The sequence below is a fragment of the Homo sapiens genome, chromosome X (genome assembly GCF_000001405.40).
Source record: "Homo sapiens chromosome X, GRCh38.p14 Primary Assembly".
Lineage (NCBI taxonomy): Eukaryota > Metazoa > Chordata > Mammalia > Primates > Hominidae > Homo > Homo sapiens.
Window position 1 is genome coordinate 3,925,100 of NC_000023.11, and position 17,811 is coordinate 3,942,910.

The following is a 17,811-nucleotide window of genomic DNA, read 5'->3' on the forward strand; positions in this document are numbered from 1 at the left end:
AGTCTTGCTCAGTCATCCAGGCTGGAGTGCAGTGGCACAATATCTGTTCCCTGCAACCTCTGCCTCCTGGGTTCAAGTGATTCTCCTGTCTCAGTCTCCCAAGTAGCTTGGACTACAGGTGCGCACCACCATGCCCAGATAAATTTTGTATGTTTAGTAGAGATGGGGTTTCACCATGTTGGCCAGGCTGAGCCTTCAGAGGGAGTGTGGCTCGGACCGCACCTTGATTTCAGACTTCTGGTCTCTAGAAATGTGAGAATGCACATTTATTGAGACTCATTCAGTGTCTCAATTTATGGAACTTTGTTAAAACAGACCTAGGAAAATAATACTCCCAATCAGAAGGACAGAACAAACAAGTGGAATTGTCAACACAACACAAAATTGGAGGTATGTACCTTTTTTAGCAGTAATTGTATATTAACTTGCTCTTCCAAAGTGGTGGTTTGGAGAATGGATAAACCCAAGTGTCAAGGATGAAAATAATGATCAATTGAACTCCATATGGAATATAAACCAATTTCACCCTCTCAATATAATATGGGTAATTATTTACTCTTCATGTTGATTTAATATTTGCTTTTATAGAATGAAAAAATATAGGTACACTCACAACTAGGGGCCCTAATCAATGATCATTTATCATGAGCATTTGATTTTCAACACATTATGAATTACATGGTGGTATAGTCAATGCAGCTCACAATAGTGGCTTTGAATCTGCATTGCCCCTGGCCATATGACCTTCAACATATATTTTGAGGTTGGGGGAACAGGAGGAATATTTTTTACGAATTTTGTGTTTGATCCAATATGGTTGTTTTTGAAAGGGCTGTGTGACCCTCTGTGGAAATAAAATTGATTTATAGCTGAACTGGACAAGCTCTATCTATCTCTTGCAACTACTAGAGGTCTGGTCTTTGACCCACGGTCAGTGGGTTTTATGAGATGTTGCTTAAAGTCTCATACTGGGCTTGGTAATTGTAGAATAGAGTGGTTCTTTGCTTTGCATGGTGGGATAAGATTTCTTTTTTAAAATTTTTAATTTTAATTTTTAATCTTTGTAGATACATAGTAGGTGTATGTATTTATGGGGTACATGAGTTGTTTTTGTTTTTTATGAAACAGAGTCTGGCTCCGTCACCGAGGCTGGAGTGCAGTAATGTGGTCTTGGCTCACTACAACCACTGACTCCTGGGTTCAAGCAATTCTCCTGCCTCAGCCCCCTGAGTAGCTGGGACTACAGGTGTGCACCACCATGTAAAGCTAATTCTTGTATTTTTAGTAGAAATGGGGTTTCACCATGTTGGGCAGGCTGGTCTCGAACTCCTGGCCTCAAGTGATCCGCTGGCCTTGGCCTCCCAAAGTGCTAGAATTACATGCATGAGCCACCGTGCCCAGCCTTACATGAGATGTTTCGATACAGGCATGCAATGTGAAAGAAGCACATCATGGGGAATGGGATATCCATCCCCTGAAGCACTTATCCTTTCAGCTACAAACAATCCAATGACATTCTTTAAGTTCTTTTAAAATGTACAATTAAGAAATCCCTTGGTCGGGCTCAGTGGCTCACGTCTGTAATCCCAGCACTTTGGGAGGCCAAGGCTAGCAGATCACCTGAGGTCAGGAGTTCAAGACCATCCTGGCCAACATGATGAAACCTCGTCTCTACTAAAAATACAAAAAAATTAGTCAGGTGTTGTTGCACGCACTTGTTGTCCCAGCTACTCAGGAGGCTGAGGCAGCAGAATTGCTTGAACCCAGGAGGCAGAGGTTGCAGTGAGCTGAGATCATGCCATGCCACTATAGCCTGGGAAACTTCATCTCAAAAAAAAAAAAAAAAAAGAAAGAAATCCCTTGAGGGTCAATTTCTTTACTGATGGCTTGCAACTGGCCTAACCACTTGTGAAGTCAGTATGGCTTCACTATATTTAGGTGGTTCAATTCATGCATCAATACGAACCCTGGGATCTTGCACAAGGGTCTCTCTGTATCCCAATGCTGGCCTGCGCACACACTTTTTCTCTCTCTTGCTGTGCTGTGTCCTTCAGTGTTAAATAAAAGCTGTACCACTTCACACCCACTAGGATGGCTACGATTCACAAAATCCAGAAAATAGCAGGTGTCAGCCAGGATGTAGAGAAATGGGAATCTTTGTGCATTGTTGGTGAAAATGCTCAATGGTGCAGCCCCTGTGCAAAACAGTGTGGTGGTTTCTCCAATAATTAAACACAGAGTTAGCATAGGATCCAGCAATTCCACTTCTGGGTATATACTCAAAAGAATTGAAAGCAGGGTCTCAAAGAGATACTTGTAAACCTATGTCCGTAACACTGTTTTTCACTGTAGCCAAGAGGTGGAAGCAACCCAAGTGTCTATCAGCAGAGGAATGGATAAACGAAGTGTGGTCCATCCATACAATGAGACATTGTTCAGCCCTAACAAAGAAGGAAATTCTGACACGTGCTGCAACGTAGATCAACCTTGAGGACATTATGCTAAGTAAAATAAGCCAGGCTCAAAAAGACTAATACTCTATGAGTCCATTCATGTGAAGTCTCTAGAGTCATCCAATGCATAGAGACAATGGTGGGCACTGGGCACTGGGGGAAGGGAACATGAGGAGTTAGTGTTTAATGGGGACAGAATCTCACTGAGGATATTAAAAAAGTTCTGGAGATAGGTGGTGGTGATGGTTGCATAACAGTGTGAATCCACTTAATGCCACTGAACCGTGCACTTAAAAATGGTTAAAATGGTGAGTTTTATATTATGTATATTTGACCAAAATAACAGATAGGTAGATACATAGATGATAGATACATCATACATGATAGATAGTTCATAGCTGGGTGATGATGATACACAAATACATAGATAAATGATAGGTGAGACAGATAGATGATAGGTGATAGATGATAGATGACAGATGGCTAGATGATAGGTAGATACATAGATGGTAGATAGATGATAGATAGAAAAATAGACAGATGATAGGTAGATGATAAGTAGATGATAAGTAGATAGATAGATAATAGGTAGATTATACACAGATGATAGATAGATGGGTAGATAGATGCTACATAGGTAGATAGATAGCCTCCAAGACAATGGGAGAATAAATGTCTGTTGTTTAAGCCCTGCAGTCTATGGTGTTCTGTTATAGCAGCTTGAAATGGACTAAGACACCTCATAAGAAGAGATGAGGACACAGACACACACAGAGAGACGACTGTATGAGGACAAAGGGAGAACACAGAGTCTACAAGCCAAGGAGAGAGGCCTCAGGAGGAACCAGCCCTGCCCACACCTTGATCTCAGACTTCCGACCTCCAGGATTGTAAGGAAATAAATTTCTGTTGTTTAAGCCCCTCAGTCTACAGTCCTTTGTTATGGCAGCTCTAGCAAAGGCATATACCTTCTCCATCCCCTCTCCTCTGATAAATACCAATATCTCAAGAGAACTTGGAGGCAGCTGTTGAAGAGAGCTGAGCCACAATGTTGAAAGTTATTGGGTCCCTGATTCAGGACTTGAAAGAGCATCACCAGCCAACCAGAAACACACACTTTGGGCTTAACACCAGGTATTTGTTAGAAAAAAAAATACGGGCTGGGTGCGGTGGCTCACGCCTGTAATCCCAGCACTTTGGGAGGCTGAGGCGGGCGGATCATGAGGTCAGGAGATTGAGACCATCCTGGCTAACATGGTGAAACCTCGTCTCTACTAAAAATACAAAAAAATTAGCTGGGCATGGTGGCGGGCGCCTGTAGTCCCAGCTACTCGGGAGGCTGAGGCAGGAGAATGGCGTGAACCTGGGAGGCGGAGCTTGCAGTGAGCTGAGATCACCCCACTGCACTCCAGCCTGGGCGACAGAGTGAGACTCTGTCTCAAAAAAAAAAACCAAAAAAAAAAAAAAAAACACTGAGATTTGGTGTTCATTCATCAGCTTAAGCAGCTTATCATGGCCCTAACTAACAAAGCATGTTTTACATAACAGGTACTTTGCCCACAGTCAAGTGTATCAAGATCAAATGATGATGTGCTACACCTTTGCTGTAGATTTCTTATCAATACACTCTTTCCTTGTGTCCTCTGAGAGTCTACTTCACTGCAGGGCTGCTGCTACCAGCTGCTGTGGTCATAGCCTTGGTGTTCTTGTCTAATTAATGAGGGTTCCCATTAAACTAGACTCCAGCTGTTTTGACTTCCAGAATTGCTTTAGGAGAGTCTCTGTGGTCATTAATAAGGTGAGACCTTTTGGTTCCCAATACAAAGAGAGAAGATAATTTATTTTCTACAGCATTTTTTCCCATAAAGCTCTATATTCCGTTACATTTTAAAGGGCATTTCAACAAATGATGTATGAAATGGAGAACAAAATCTGTATGGTTCTGCAGTAAAGGGCATGCAAAACTAGAGAACGGCTCTGAAATGATGTGGAAAAACAGCAATCTACTTTTCTTTAAAAAAATTAAAGGCTTATGCTTCACATAAATTCATGTCGATTTTCCAGGCATTATTTGGTTATAACGTCTGAGGCATTGCATGGATTTACTGGTACCTAAAGTGTGGATTTATTCTTAAGAAGCATGCAGCTCTACAATCTTGTACAGTGAAACGTTGGGCACTCACAAAGTTATGCAAGACAGGTTATGATGTGGGCTTAAGAAAGGTGTTGAGAGCTAGGAGTAGAGATATAGAAGAAAAAAAGTGTAATATTTTCAAGAAAGAGTAATTAGTTTGTAAGTGGAGGCTACTTTCAGTGTTTTTTTTTTTTAATTTTGATGTTTTAGTGTTATGTTTTTTGAGACAGAGTCCAGCTCTGTTGCCCAGGATGGAGTGCAGTGGTGTGAGCATAGCTCACTGCTGTCTTGAACTTCCAGGCTCAAGTGATCCTCCCACCTCAGTTTCCTGAATAGCTAGGACCACAGGCATGCACCATCATGCCTGGCTAATTTTTAAATATTTTGTAGAAACTGGGTCTCCCTTTGTTATCCAGGCTGGTCTCCAACTCCTGGGCTCAAGTGATCCTCCTCCCTTGGCTTCCCAAAGTGTTGAGATTACAGGCATGAGCCACTGTGCCAGGCCAACATTGTTTTTAATATATGACTTGTAAGGCAAGTTGGGGGGCATTAATTCCTTATTAAGATGTACTGAGTTGAATAAAAGCCCCTCCAACCATCAACCCCCCAAAATATATGTCCAAGTACTAAGCTCCAGAATTTGTGAATGCAAACTAATTTGGATAAAGAGTATTTGCATGTAATTAAGGAAAGATTCTTGAGATTAGATCACTATAAATTACCCAGGTGGCCTTTAAATCCAATGACCAGTGTCCTTCTAAGAGACAGAAGAGGAGACACAGACACAGAGGAAAAGGTCACGTGGAGATGGAGGCAGAGAATGTAGTGATGTGGCCACAAGCCCAGGGACACCTGGAGCCACCAGGAGCTGGAAGAGGCAGGAAGGATCCTCTCCTAGAACCTCCAGGGGGAGCGCACCCCTGCCCACACCTTGATCTCAGATTCCTGGTCTCCAATACTGGAAAAGAGTAAACATCTGTTACTTTACGCCATCCAAGTTTTTGTTATTTGCTACGGCATCCATAGGAATTAAAAACCTATAGGTATGAATTTTATGTTGCTGTCAAAAGGCTTCTTCTAGGATAAGTAGATATTTCACCTAGATAGTTGTAGCTTTTTCTCCTCTTCATTGGGATCGGAACTCAGTTGGTGTCCTCCATCCTCCTATCTCAATATTGATTTTACTTACTCTTTAATCCTAACAATGAGCCTTTTTATATTGCTTAATTAAATATCAATGTCTTTCTGGTCAACATGAGACCAAAAACCTTTTTACCTTGGGCCTGAGAAAGAGCAGTATTTCTCCTCCTCCTCTTCCTCTTCTTCCTCCTCCTTCCTTCTTCTCCCTCTTTTTAGAGATGGGGTCTCTCTCTGTTGCCCAGGCTAGAGTGCAGTGGCATAATCCTAGCTCACTGCAGCCTCAAACTCCTGGGCTCAAGTGATCTTCCAGCCTCAGCCTGCTGAGTAACTGGGACCACACATGTGCACCACTATGCCCTATTTTTTTGTTTTTTTAACTTATTTATAGAAATGAGGTCTCACTATGTTGCCCAGGCTGGTCTCATACTTCTGGCCTCAAGTGTTCCTCCTCTTTGGCCTCCCAAAGCACTGGGATTACAGGTGTGAGCCACCATGCTTTGGCATGGTGGGGTATGCAGTAGGAGAGCAGGGGTGGTGGTAGTGTCTCCATATGTACTCTCACTAAAACTGGTGTGGGCAGATACTGGATGCCTACTTATTTAGGGGCATCTAAATTCCTGTGCTAAATTAGAAAATAGAGGCAGCTCTTGAAAGGAGTGATGGCATGAAGGAGAGATGCTTGGACCAACCACCACACAACCCTTATAAATAATTGATAACCTTGGTTTTGATGCCACGTCCTCTTCGACAGTTGTTGGTTGAAATGACACATGATTCCAGGTGAGCTTTTCCAGATAAATTGCCCTGGAACTTCAGACTTTGTCGGGTGAATCGATGTGGAATTTCAGAATGGGCTGGAATGTCTAAGATGGGCATGTCCAATATTCAGCTCAGTGTGGGGAAACTGGTGGTGGCCAGGGCTGGTTGCAAGCTGAGTTGTAGGGGTGACAGTTCACCTGAGAAACAAAAAAACATGCAAGTCCTGGTTCATGAGGAGTGATTTCACAAATAGTGACCATGGAAGTCAATGTTGAAAAAACAAATAGATTCAGGGCATAAGGGTGCAGGTTTGTTACATGGATATGTTGCCTAGTGGTGGGGATTGGCCTTCTGTCCCCTAAACAGTGAACATAATACCAGATAGGTAATTTTTCAACCCTCATCCTCTCCCACCTTCCCCCTTTTAAAGGTGTCCAGTGCCTGTTATTCCATTCTATAGGTCCATGTGTACCCATTTTTAGCTCCCACTTATAAGTGAAAACATGTGGTATTTGATTTTCTGTTTCTGAGTTATCTCACTTAGGATATTGACCTGCAGCTCCATTTATGTTGCTGCAAAAGATACAGTGATACAGTTTCATTCTTTTTTATAGATGCATAGTATTCCTTGGTGTGTGTATACCACATTTTCTTCATCCAATGAACATTCAGGTTCATTCCACGATTTTGCTATTGTGAATTGAGGTGCAATAAAAATGTAAGCATAGGCATCTTTTTTGATAATTTCTTTTCCTTTGCATAGATAATCATTAGTGGAGTTGCTGGGTCAAAGGGCAGATCTATTTTTAGTTCTTTGGGAAATCTACATACTGTTTCCTATAGAGGTTGTACAATTTACTTCTCACCAACAGTGTATAAGCATTCCCTTGTCTCTGTACTCTTGCCAACATGCGTCTGTTGTTTTTGGAAGTCAGTGTTTTTCTACAAGACCTTCATATTGGCTATAAATAAAAGTGATACCTTGGAAGAGAGTCTATTTCTGGACAGCCAGAGAGGGAAATGGGAATGATCAGGAAACATACCGGGATTATAAGAGAGCTTCATTATTTTGGTCTGGCTTGAGTCCGTAAATGGAGTAGCCTCTTAGCGGAACAAAATTTCCTCCAATTATAATGGTAGTTGCCAGAGGCAACAACAGTGAAAGAGCCATTTAAAAAGTCAAAACCAGAGGAATCATTTGACTAGAACCTTCAATGGCTTTGAGTCACTATGCCAGACAGCTCAATTATCTTATCTCTGCCGTGAAAAGCTGTCTTTTTCTTGTACTTACATCTCTTGAGCAGAATCTCACATAAAACATGCCCTAATTACATGGTCCCTATTAGATACTACACCAGGGAGTGCTTGGCTTTGATGGTGCCCAGATTGTCTGAAGTCTGCAGAAATCCACTGCAGGCAGAGGCATTTGGGTGGACCATGTTCCCAAGATTATCACTTTGTAAAATATGGCTCTTGGGAGGGCAAATTTGCATGTAGGGTATTCTGAGGAACAAGTGTCGTACTGCCATCCTAAGGGTCCCTTATGGCAATGTCTGAGTTATGTGTAATTACAACAGCCATGGGTCTAGAGCTTAAGCCTCCTGCTTCCATGGAACCAATGCATTCAAAGGTTGAAGGCACCTTTGAGATTTTCTAGGCTGGCTACCAAGTCCTATGTAGGAGAAAGATGAAGTCTAACAAAGCCAGGTGATTTTCAGCCACACAATGTGTACCTTGATCTAGGGTCAGGTTATTCAGCCTCCTACTACACCAAATTTTAGAATACAATTTTTATTAGGTGGGATTTAATTAATGTCACTGATGTATAAAAGTAAAAAGAACATGTTACAGATGTAAGATATATAGATTATATATTTATCTGTATACATAAGAGAAATAGATGGACGGATGGATAGATAGACAGATGGATAACTAGAAGATAGAAAATTACACACATACATTCATAAATACATATATACATAGATGGATAGATAGATGATTGACAGAGAGAACAATATAGGTAAATGTAGATAGACGATAGATGATAGAAAGATAGACAATAGGTAGATAGATGTTAGATGGAATAGATGACAGATTAATGATAGGTAGATAGAATAGATAGATAATGAATAGATGATAGAAAGATAGACAGATAGACAATAATAGGTAGGTAGATAGATGATAGATGGAATAGATAGATAGATGGTGGATAGATATATGGAATAGATGATAGATTATAGATGGAATGAACGGATAGATAGAATATAGTAATAGAATGCATCTACCTGAAAATACAAGAGAGAAGAAAAAGAGATTGGGAGTTTTTCCACTCTATAACTTTGGGGCAAAGAAAATAGCATTAATGAAAAAGCAAAGAATGGGAAAATAAAAAGTTTTTATCCAGAACCACCCTTCCAGCAAAAGAAAATGTAGGGCAAGCAAAATATTAAGCATTTCATACTCACTTGTGTAGGCCACGGGAACTATTATGAAAAGGTGGATGTTGCATGTTTCAGTATATTTTTTGTTTTGTTTTGTTTTTGAGATGGACTCTCGCTGTGTTGCCCAGGCTGGAGTGCAATGGCGAGGTCTCAGCTCACTGCAACCTCCGCCTCCTGGGTTCAAGCAATTCTCCTGTCTCAGCCTCCCGAGTAGCTGAGATTACAGGTGCATGCCGCCATGCCTGGCTAATTTTTTGTACTTCAGTAAAGATGGGGTTTCACTGTTTTGCCCAGGCTAGTCTTGAACCCCTGAGCTCAGGCAATCCACCTGCGTTGGCCTCCCAAAGTGCTGAGATTACAGGTGTGAGCCACCACGCCCGACCTCAGTACACTTTTAATATACACAGAGCTTTGCCACATTTTGGAGGGTTACCTACTATTGCAATTTCTGGATTTTTATTTCATTTTTTATGTTTGTGTCTCTCCATTTTAGTTTAATGTAATGCAATTCAATAGATTTTCTCATTAAAATAAAATCTCAGCCTCTCTCCATTGCATAGGATGAAGCAGGCATGATGTAGGGCAAGCTCACTGGCTGGATTCAGACCCTTGAAGGAGGCCGGGCGCGGTGGCTCATGCCTGTAATCCCAGCACTTTGGGAGGCTGAGGTGGGCAGATCACTTGAGGTCAGGCATTTGAGACCAGCCTGGCCAACATGGTGAAACTCTGTCTCTACCAAAAAACCCCCAAAAATGAAAATACAAAAATTAACTGAGTGTGGTGGTGCGTGCCTGTAGTCCCAGCTACTTGGGAGGTTGAGGTGGGAGAATCCCTTGAACCTGGGAGGTGGAGGTTACAGTGAGCCGGGATCATGCCACTGCACTCCAGACTGTGTGACAGAGACCCTGTCTCAAAAAAAAAACAACACAAAACCCAAAACAGACCCTTGAGAAGTGAGCATTTTGCAGTATTCCATTTGGGAGCTGGCTATTCTGCTTCCTCCTAACATCCCAAAGGACACAGGATGGCCTGAGCTCCCAGGTACCCTGGGTTTCCCAGTAAGAATTCCAGGAGTGTTGAGAGAAATGCAAATTGTCTCTGCAGAGCAGCAGACCCCAGAGCTTAAAGGCTTCTCTCCGTTCACAGATTGCTGCATGGAGATGAGAGGAAATAGAGGGTGAACAGATCTCCTGCTACTGCACATGCTACTTTTGATTTCCCAGCTGGTGTTTGAAGGCTGTGCAAGGTGTTGGTTTGCAGGATGATGGAGACCCAGATCATTGTGAATCCATGACCGTGTGGCCGTTTGCATCGACTCAGCCTTACTGCAGATACTAACCTTCATTCCCCTCTCCAGCTATGCACTGGTTTTCTGCATACCACTTGGAATTTATGTTGGCTCTGAGTCATCTGACTCTCACATGAGAAAGAACCAAATAATGACCTGTTATTTTAAAAGAAAGTATCTGCATATGGCTTCTTGTCTGCCGAATGTTGCACATTAGGCCTTTTTTATTGAGTTTCAAATAAACCCCTGAATTAATTCTGCAGGCAAAGGCATTGATGTTAGCACCATTTGATCGCTTGAATGCACGTCATAACAGCATTTTAACGTGCTTACAGCAAGGGGGATGAGACCATATCGAGGATGCACTTTGTCGTTATTAAGGTTAAAAACACCAAGATAGCTGGGTGCGGTGGCTCAGGCCTGTAATCCCAGCACTTTGGGAGGCCGAGGTTGAAGGAAGAGAAAGACCCTCTCATATTATTTTATATTGTTTTATACTCAGTACCTGTTTTAAGCAAAAACAGCAAGGAAGTAAAACCAAAGACAGGCAGCTCGGTGCCAGGCCTGAAACCAGGCCTGGGCCTGCCTGGCCTACACCCAGTAGTTAAAAATCAACTCATGACTTAGAAACCGGTGTTATTCATAGATTCCAGACATTGTATAGAAGAACACTGTGAAACTCCCTGCCCTGTTCTGTTTCTCTCTGACCACCGGTGCATACAGCCCCTGTCACGTACCCCCTGCTTGCTCAAATCAATCACGACCCTTTCATGTGAAATCTTTAATGTTGTGAACCCTTAAAAGGGACAGAAATTGTGCACTCGGGGAGCTCGGATTTTAAGGCAGTAGCTTGCCGATGCTCCCAGCTGAATAAAGCCCTTCCTTCTACAACTCGGGGTCTGAGAGGTTTTGTCTGCGGCTCATCCTGCTACAAGGTGGGTGGATCACTTGAGTCCAGGAGTTTGAGACTAGCCTGGCCAACATGGCGAAACCCTGTCTCTACAAAAAATACAAAAATTAGCCAGGTGTTGTGTTGTGTACCTGTAGTCCCATACTCAAGAGGCTAAGGTGGGTGGATCTCTGGAGCCTGGGAAGTCAAGGCTGCAGTGAGTGGAGATCATGCCACTGCACTCCAGCCTGGGTGACTGAGCGAGACTCTGTCTCAAAAAAAAAAAATAAAAAAAAAAAAAGAAGAAGAAAAGACATGTACAATAGATTATTGTAAACTACAGTCACTTGCTGATCTATTGAACACTATGTCTTTTTTCTCTTATCGAAGTGTATATTTGCAAAGTGGGAGGATTTCTTGAGCTCAGGAGCTCGAGACCTGCCTGGGCAACCTAGTGAGACCCTGTCTCTACAAAAAAAAACACAAAAGCCAGCCTGGCATGGTGGCATGCACCTGTAGTCCTAGCTACTGGGGAGGCTGAGGTAGGAGGATTGCTTGAGCCCAGGAGTTCAAGGTTACCGTGAGCTATGATTGCACCACTGTACTTCAGTCTGGCAACAGAGCAGAATCCTGTCTCCAAAAAAACAAAACAAAAAACCAAAAAAACCTAAGATATTTGCATCCATTAATCAAACTATTTTTATCTCCCTTCTCTGCTCCCTTCCCAGCCTCTGGTAGCCACCAATCTACTCTCTATCTCCATGAGATCCAGGTTTTAAGCTCCCACATGTGAGTGAGAACATGCAGTATTTTTCTTCTGTGCCTGGCTTATTTCACTTAACATAATGACCTCCAGTTCCATCCATCAGGCCTCCTTTTTTCACGGAGGATTTATTTTAGGAAACTTGCAATTGTGAGTTCTTTCTCTATCTCTTTGAGATGCAAATCTTCTCCCAAATTTTCTTCTAGCCTCTTCCTAGTTTTGCAACCCAGGAATGCCTTTCTCAAGACTTCAGAGCCATCCCTTTAAAATGCAATTATTGAAGGAGATGATACATCTGTGTCTCAGTTTTTGTAGAAGGGCAGATTCCTAGTTTTGAAAAATTCCAATGAGCCAACGCAGATAGCTTTACAGCATTTCCTAACCTCTTCCTGATGTCTCCAGTTCCTTCTCAGCATCTCACCCCGGCACTTAAAAACTCTCCAGCCTTTTGTTTCAACAAAGTTAAGCTCCTTCTCTCTTCCGTATTGCAGTAGTCCTGACTGAGTCCTTCCTTGAAGGTTTAACTTGTCTGGTACAATTTTTTCTGACAATGTCCAGATCAGATGATCCCACAGAAACACTGAGTGTGATTTTAGCCTGAGAAGGGGGAGGATGAGAAGATAGATTGGGAGACAGCTGTGTAGGCAGGGGACTTGGCCACTCCCTAAACCTCTCCCAGTCTCACCTGTAAATGGAGTGCATAGGCAGCAGTGCTTCTCTTCCGAGGCTGGGGTGATGGAAACAGACTATTGAGGGCATCTGGAAGGGCATTTGTGTCAGGGTTAGTCCTCAGGGCATGGTGGCCAATGGGTTTCTTTTGGTTGACTGTTGACAATGCGTTTGTTGAATGGCAGCCTGCACTAGGCAACGCTGAAGCCACAGAAGACACCGCAGTGGGAAAACCAGCATAAGCCGCTGCCCCCAAGGAACCTCAAAGCCCAGGCAGAGGACCAGCCATCCCAGTCGCACAGGTAAAGTGTGTCACCTGTCAGGTGGGCTTGGGGTGAGCGGGTGGGGGGAGTGTGTGTGCAAAGGGGGTGTGAGTGTGTATGTGTGTGAGCACATGTGAGTGTGATGGCTAGTGTGACTGCATGTAAGGGAGTGTGAACAAGCGTGTGAGGGTGTGTGTGCAAGTATGTATGCATATGAGAATATGTGTCTGTGGATGAGTGCATTTGAAAGCCTGAGTGTGTGTGTGTGTGTGTGGTCATGAGGGCAAGTTAGTGACTGAATGCGCAGGATGTGTGAGTGTGCATGGAACACTGTCAGTGTGTGTGTGGCAAGTGTGTAGGTGTGTGAGGACAGGCAGAAGTGTGTCAGTGTTGTGATGATGGAAGTGTGAATGAGTGTATGAGTGTGCAAAAAGGTATGGAGTGAATGTGCATGGAAGTGTGTGTGTAAACTATGAAGGCATGTAGTATGTCAGTATGTGAGTGTGCAGTGCATGTGTGTGGGAGGGTGAGCGTGTGAGTTAGTGTGACTGCTTGTGGGTGTGTTTATGAGTGTGTGCCAGTGGGTATGAGTGTGAGAGCATGTAAAAGTGTGTGTGTAGTGTGACAGTGTGTGTGTACTGTGACATTGTGTGGCTGCGTGTCAGTGTTTATGAATGACAGCATGTGAAAGTATGCATGTGTATGTGGGTGCATACATGTAAGTGTATGAGGGTGCGTGTGATGGTGTAAGTGTAGGGTTGTGATGCATGAGTGTGAGTGTGGCTGTGTTTTTCAGTATATGACTGTGTATGTGTATTGGGTGTGGACCTGAGTGTGCTAGTGTGCAAGGGCAAGTGTAAAGGGCATGAGAATGCAAGTGTGTGTACATGAATGAGTGGGAGTGTGTGCATGGGAGTGAGTGCATGTGCCTGTGTGAGTGCACTCTCAAAAGCGTGGAAGGGTGCAAGCCTCCCCCACTAACTCCTGTCCCCTGCTGAAATCATCTTTCCCACCTCCTTCCCTGCCATCCCTACAGTGTACCCCATAAGAGTGCTGGCTTTCCTTCCGGGCACTCTGCCCTCCCCCATTTCAGGCATCCCTGCACACCCGTTCTGTACAAGAAGGAGGTACCTCTTCTCTGCATCCGTAGGTTCTGCACTCCAGGGGTAGCTCCCCATAGCTGGTCCACAGACCATCACCCACCCCCCCAATTGCCACCCAGAGGGATGAGAGGGCTTACAACAGTGGGGACAGCTGGTGCTAGCCCCTAACCCTACTAAACTTCCATAGAGACCCTTACAGGGCTTTTCCATTGGGAAAAGTTGGGGAAAACCCAGGAACATTCAGAAGTGCAGTGAAACCATGTCTTGGATGGCTTGGGAGGGATGCCGTTTATCCCGGGAGACAGGATTGAGTGCTAGAAGGCTGGGCAGGGGGGGAGCTGTTTGAATAGCTGAGGTGAGAAAGTGGGGAAAAAAGTGACATAGTAGATAAAATACAAGGTAAAATAAAGTATAGCCACCTGAAGAAACAATGTTGGACCATATTGGGCAGATTTAAAGATTATGTGTGGGCAGTCATGTTATCTACCATGCCTCCCATTTTAAATTCATGTTTTCTTAGAATGTTATTATTCTAACATATATTTAACTATTTCAAAGCATAGAATTCGGTGGCATTTAGTACACAGCATGCATAATATTGTACAACCATCATCTCCATCTCCCTGAACATTTTTATCACCCTCAAAAAAGAATATCACCCCCATATTCATCAAGCAAAAGTTAATTTTAATTATTAAAAAAAAAAAGGCATCAGAATTTTGAGCCCTAGTCCACACTTTTTGTTTTGTTTGTTTTTTGTTTTTTATTTTTTTGAGACAGAGTGTCGCTCTCTTATCCAGGCTGGGGTGCAGTGGCGTGATCTCGGCTCCCTCCAACCTCCGCCTCCCGGGTTCAAGCGATTCTTGTGCCTCAGCCTCCTGAGTAGCTGGGACTACAGGCGCCCGCCAACATCCCGGCTAATTTTTGTATTTTCAGTAGATACGGGGTTTTACCATGTTGGCCAGGCTGTTCTTGAACTCCTGACCTGAAGTGACCCACCCGCCTCGGCCTCCCAAAGTGCTAAGATTACAGGCATGAGCCACCACGCCCGGCCCACACTTATTTTTGAAAAGCAATTCTTGATTTCATTTATTTTAAAAGGATCCTCTCTCTTCCCTCTGTTATGGTGATTTTCTTGTGTGGCTTAAATAGCAAATTGAACCCACTAGATGGCACCAAACACTAGCATTTTTTAAAAAAAACAGCAACTCAGAAATCAATGATTTTTGACACAATCTACTGTTCTTTCTTAGACCTTCATGTGAGGTTTAGCTGGGGGGTGAAAATGCATGAATGGCAATGTTTTTGCAATGGAAGGAGCTATCTGGTGCAGAGAACCCAACTATGTAATTATTATTGCATCATAGGTCAACCAGGTGTGCTTAGAATGTGAGAAAAATACAATTTCCCCATTATTTCCAGGTGAGGTCAACCAAAGGTGAGTGAAACTGGCTCAGTCACCTGCTTGGGGCACTTCCAAGGTAAATGCTGCAGGCTCCCAGAGGAGAAAATTAAATACACAGGGATAATGAGACTGTGCAAATTTTTAAAAAATTTCATAATCCCAGTGGAATAGCTTATTTATTTATTTATTTTTACAATGGAGGTATTTACCTGTCTGAGCTATTATGAATAAAAATGCATGGTATCAGTGGACACGTCTTTGTCTATAGGCTATTTCTATTTTTTTTTCTTGGTTACATGTTTAGGTTCATATGCTGCACTGTTTTTCAAAAGTTGTCGTTTCACTTTGCACTGTGAATGTAGGAGGGTTGTAGTTGCTTTATATTTAGTGCTTGTTATTGTCAAGCTTGAAAATGTTATTTATGCTCGTGGTCATGTAGGGATATCTCATTGTGTCTTTAATTTGCAGTGCTCTGATCACTAATAATGATGGTATCTTTGTTTATATACCTATTGGCTCCGTGTGTGTGAGAGTGTGTGTGTGTGTATTATTTTTCTGTGAAGTATTTGTTCATATATTTTGTCAGTAGTCTGTTGAGTTGCTTGTCTTTTGTAATTGAGTTGTTTATATATTCTGAATATATAATAAATATATTTTATGTAATGTTTTTTCCCAGTATGCAGCTTATCTTTTCTTTTATTAATGATGTTGTTTAAAGATAATTTTGAATTTTGATAAAGTCCACTTCATCCATTTTTAAAAATATTATGATTCATGCTTTTAGTGTCCTATCTAAACAACCTTTTCTTTTCTTTTCTTTTCTTTTCTTTTTTTTTTGCAACCTCCACCTCCTGGATTCAAGCAATTCTCCTGCCTCAGTCTCCCAAGGAGCTGGGATTACAGGTGCACGCCACCAAGCCAGGCTAATTTTTTTTTTTTTTTTTTTTTGCATTTTTTTGTAGAGATGGGGTTTCATCATTGTTGGCCAGGCTGTTCTCAAACTCCTGACCTCAAGTAATCTGCCTGCCTCGGCCTCCCAGATTGCTGGGATTACAAGCATGAGCCACCATGCTCAGCCCTAAAAAATCTTTTCTATACCAAGTTCAAGAAGAGTTGTTCATGTGTTTTCACCTAGATGCTTAATAGTTCAGCTTTTTCATTTACGTCTATGATACATTTTGATAAAACCTTCTAAATAGTATGAAAAAAGGGTTTTTTAAAAATTCCTAGAAGAATACTCAGTTATTCTTACACCATTTCTTGAAAAGCTTATTATTTCCACATTGAGTCAATTGACCATGGATATGTGGTTCTATCTTATATCATTGTTTTCCCTGTCTGTCCTACTGCCTGTGACACATGACATTGATACTGTTGCCTTCTAGTAAATCTTGAACTTAAGAAGCATATGTGCTCTAATTTTGTTGTTCTTTATCTAAATTACTTTGCTATTCTAGGTCCTTGGCATTTGCAGGTAAATTTTGGAGTTAGCTTGTCAATATAAAAAAAATCCTAATGAAACATTGATTGACATTTCATTGAATCAGTAGATCAAGTAAGAGGAAATTATCAGCTTAACAATGCCAATACTTTCAAATAATAGAGATGATATATCTCTCTATGTATTGGTCTTCATAAATTTCTCTCATCAACATATATATTTAAAAACTTTCAGTGTTCAGGTGTTGCATAAATTTGCTAAATCTGTCTCTCAGTACTACTTTCTATTGTAAATGACATTTAAAATAATTTGTTTTCCAACTTTTTGTTACTGGTATAATTTAATTTTTTTTTTTTTTTTTGAGATGGAGTCTTGCTCTGTTGCCCAGGCTGGAGTGCAGTGGTGCAATCTCGGCTCACTGCAAGCTCTGCTTCCCGGGTTCACGCCATTCTCCTGCCTCGGCATCCTGAGTAGCTGGGACTACAGGTGCCCACCACCATGCCCGGCTAATTTTTTTGTATTTTCAGTAGAGATGGGGTTTCACCGTGTTAGCCAGGATGGTCTTGATCTCCTGACCTCATTATCTGCCCGCCTCGGCCTCCCAAAGTGCTGGGATTACAGGCTTGAGCCATCGCGCCCAGCCTAATTTAATTTTTAAAATTAGCCATGTATTCTGTGACCTTCTAAATCCATTTATTATTCTGGTAGCTTTTCTGCAGATGCTAGAGAATTTTCTACATGCAAGATCATGTCATTATGAATAAAAACTATTTTACTTCATTCCAATATATGCCTTTCCTTCCCTCCCTCTCTTCTTTCTTTCTTTCTTTCTTTCTTTCTTTCTTTCTTTCTTTCTTTCTTTCTTTCTTTCTTTCTTTCTTTCCTTCCTTCCTTCCTTCCTTCCTTCCTTCCACTGAATAGGATTCCCAGTACTATCTTTAACCTTTTTGTTTTACCCAAAAAGCTAGGCAGCTGCACCCTGCATTCGTGTTTCATCCTTGGTCTGCCTCAGTCATGAGGTGCTTCCTACAAATATGGCTGTCTCTGTGATTTCTCATTCAAC

At 42.2% G+C, this 17,811-nt stretch overlaps 1 long non-coding RNA gene across 1 annotated transcript; it reads right to left on the reverse strand.

The window, feature by feature from the left end:
* Window positions 1–4,272: 4,272 nt before the first annotated feature.
* FAM239C (family with sequence similarity 239 member C) lies at window positions 4,273–12,773 on the reverse strand. Its single transcript, XR_001755780.2, has 2 exons — window positions 12,553–12,773; window positions 4,273–6,683 (listed from the first exon to the last, which is right to left on the reverse strand). It is a non-coding gene; the product is annotated as a family with sequence similarity 239 member C (long non-coding RNA).
* Between the last annotated feature and the right edge of the window lie 5,038 nt (window positions 12,774–17,811).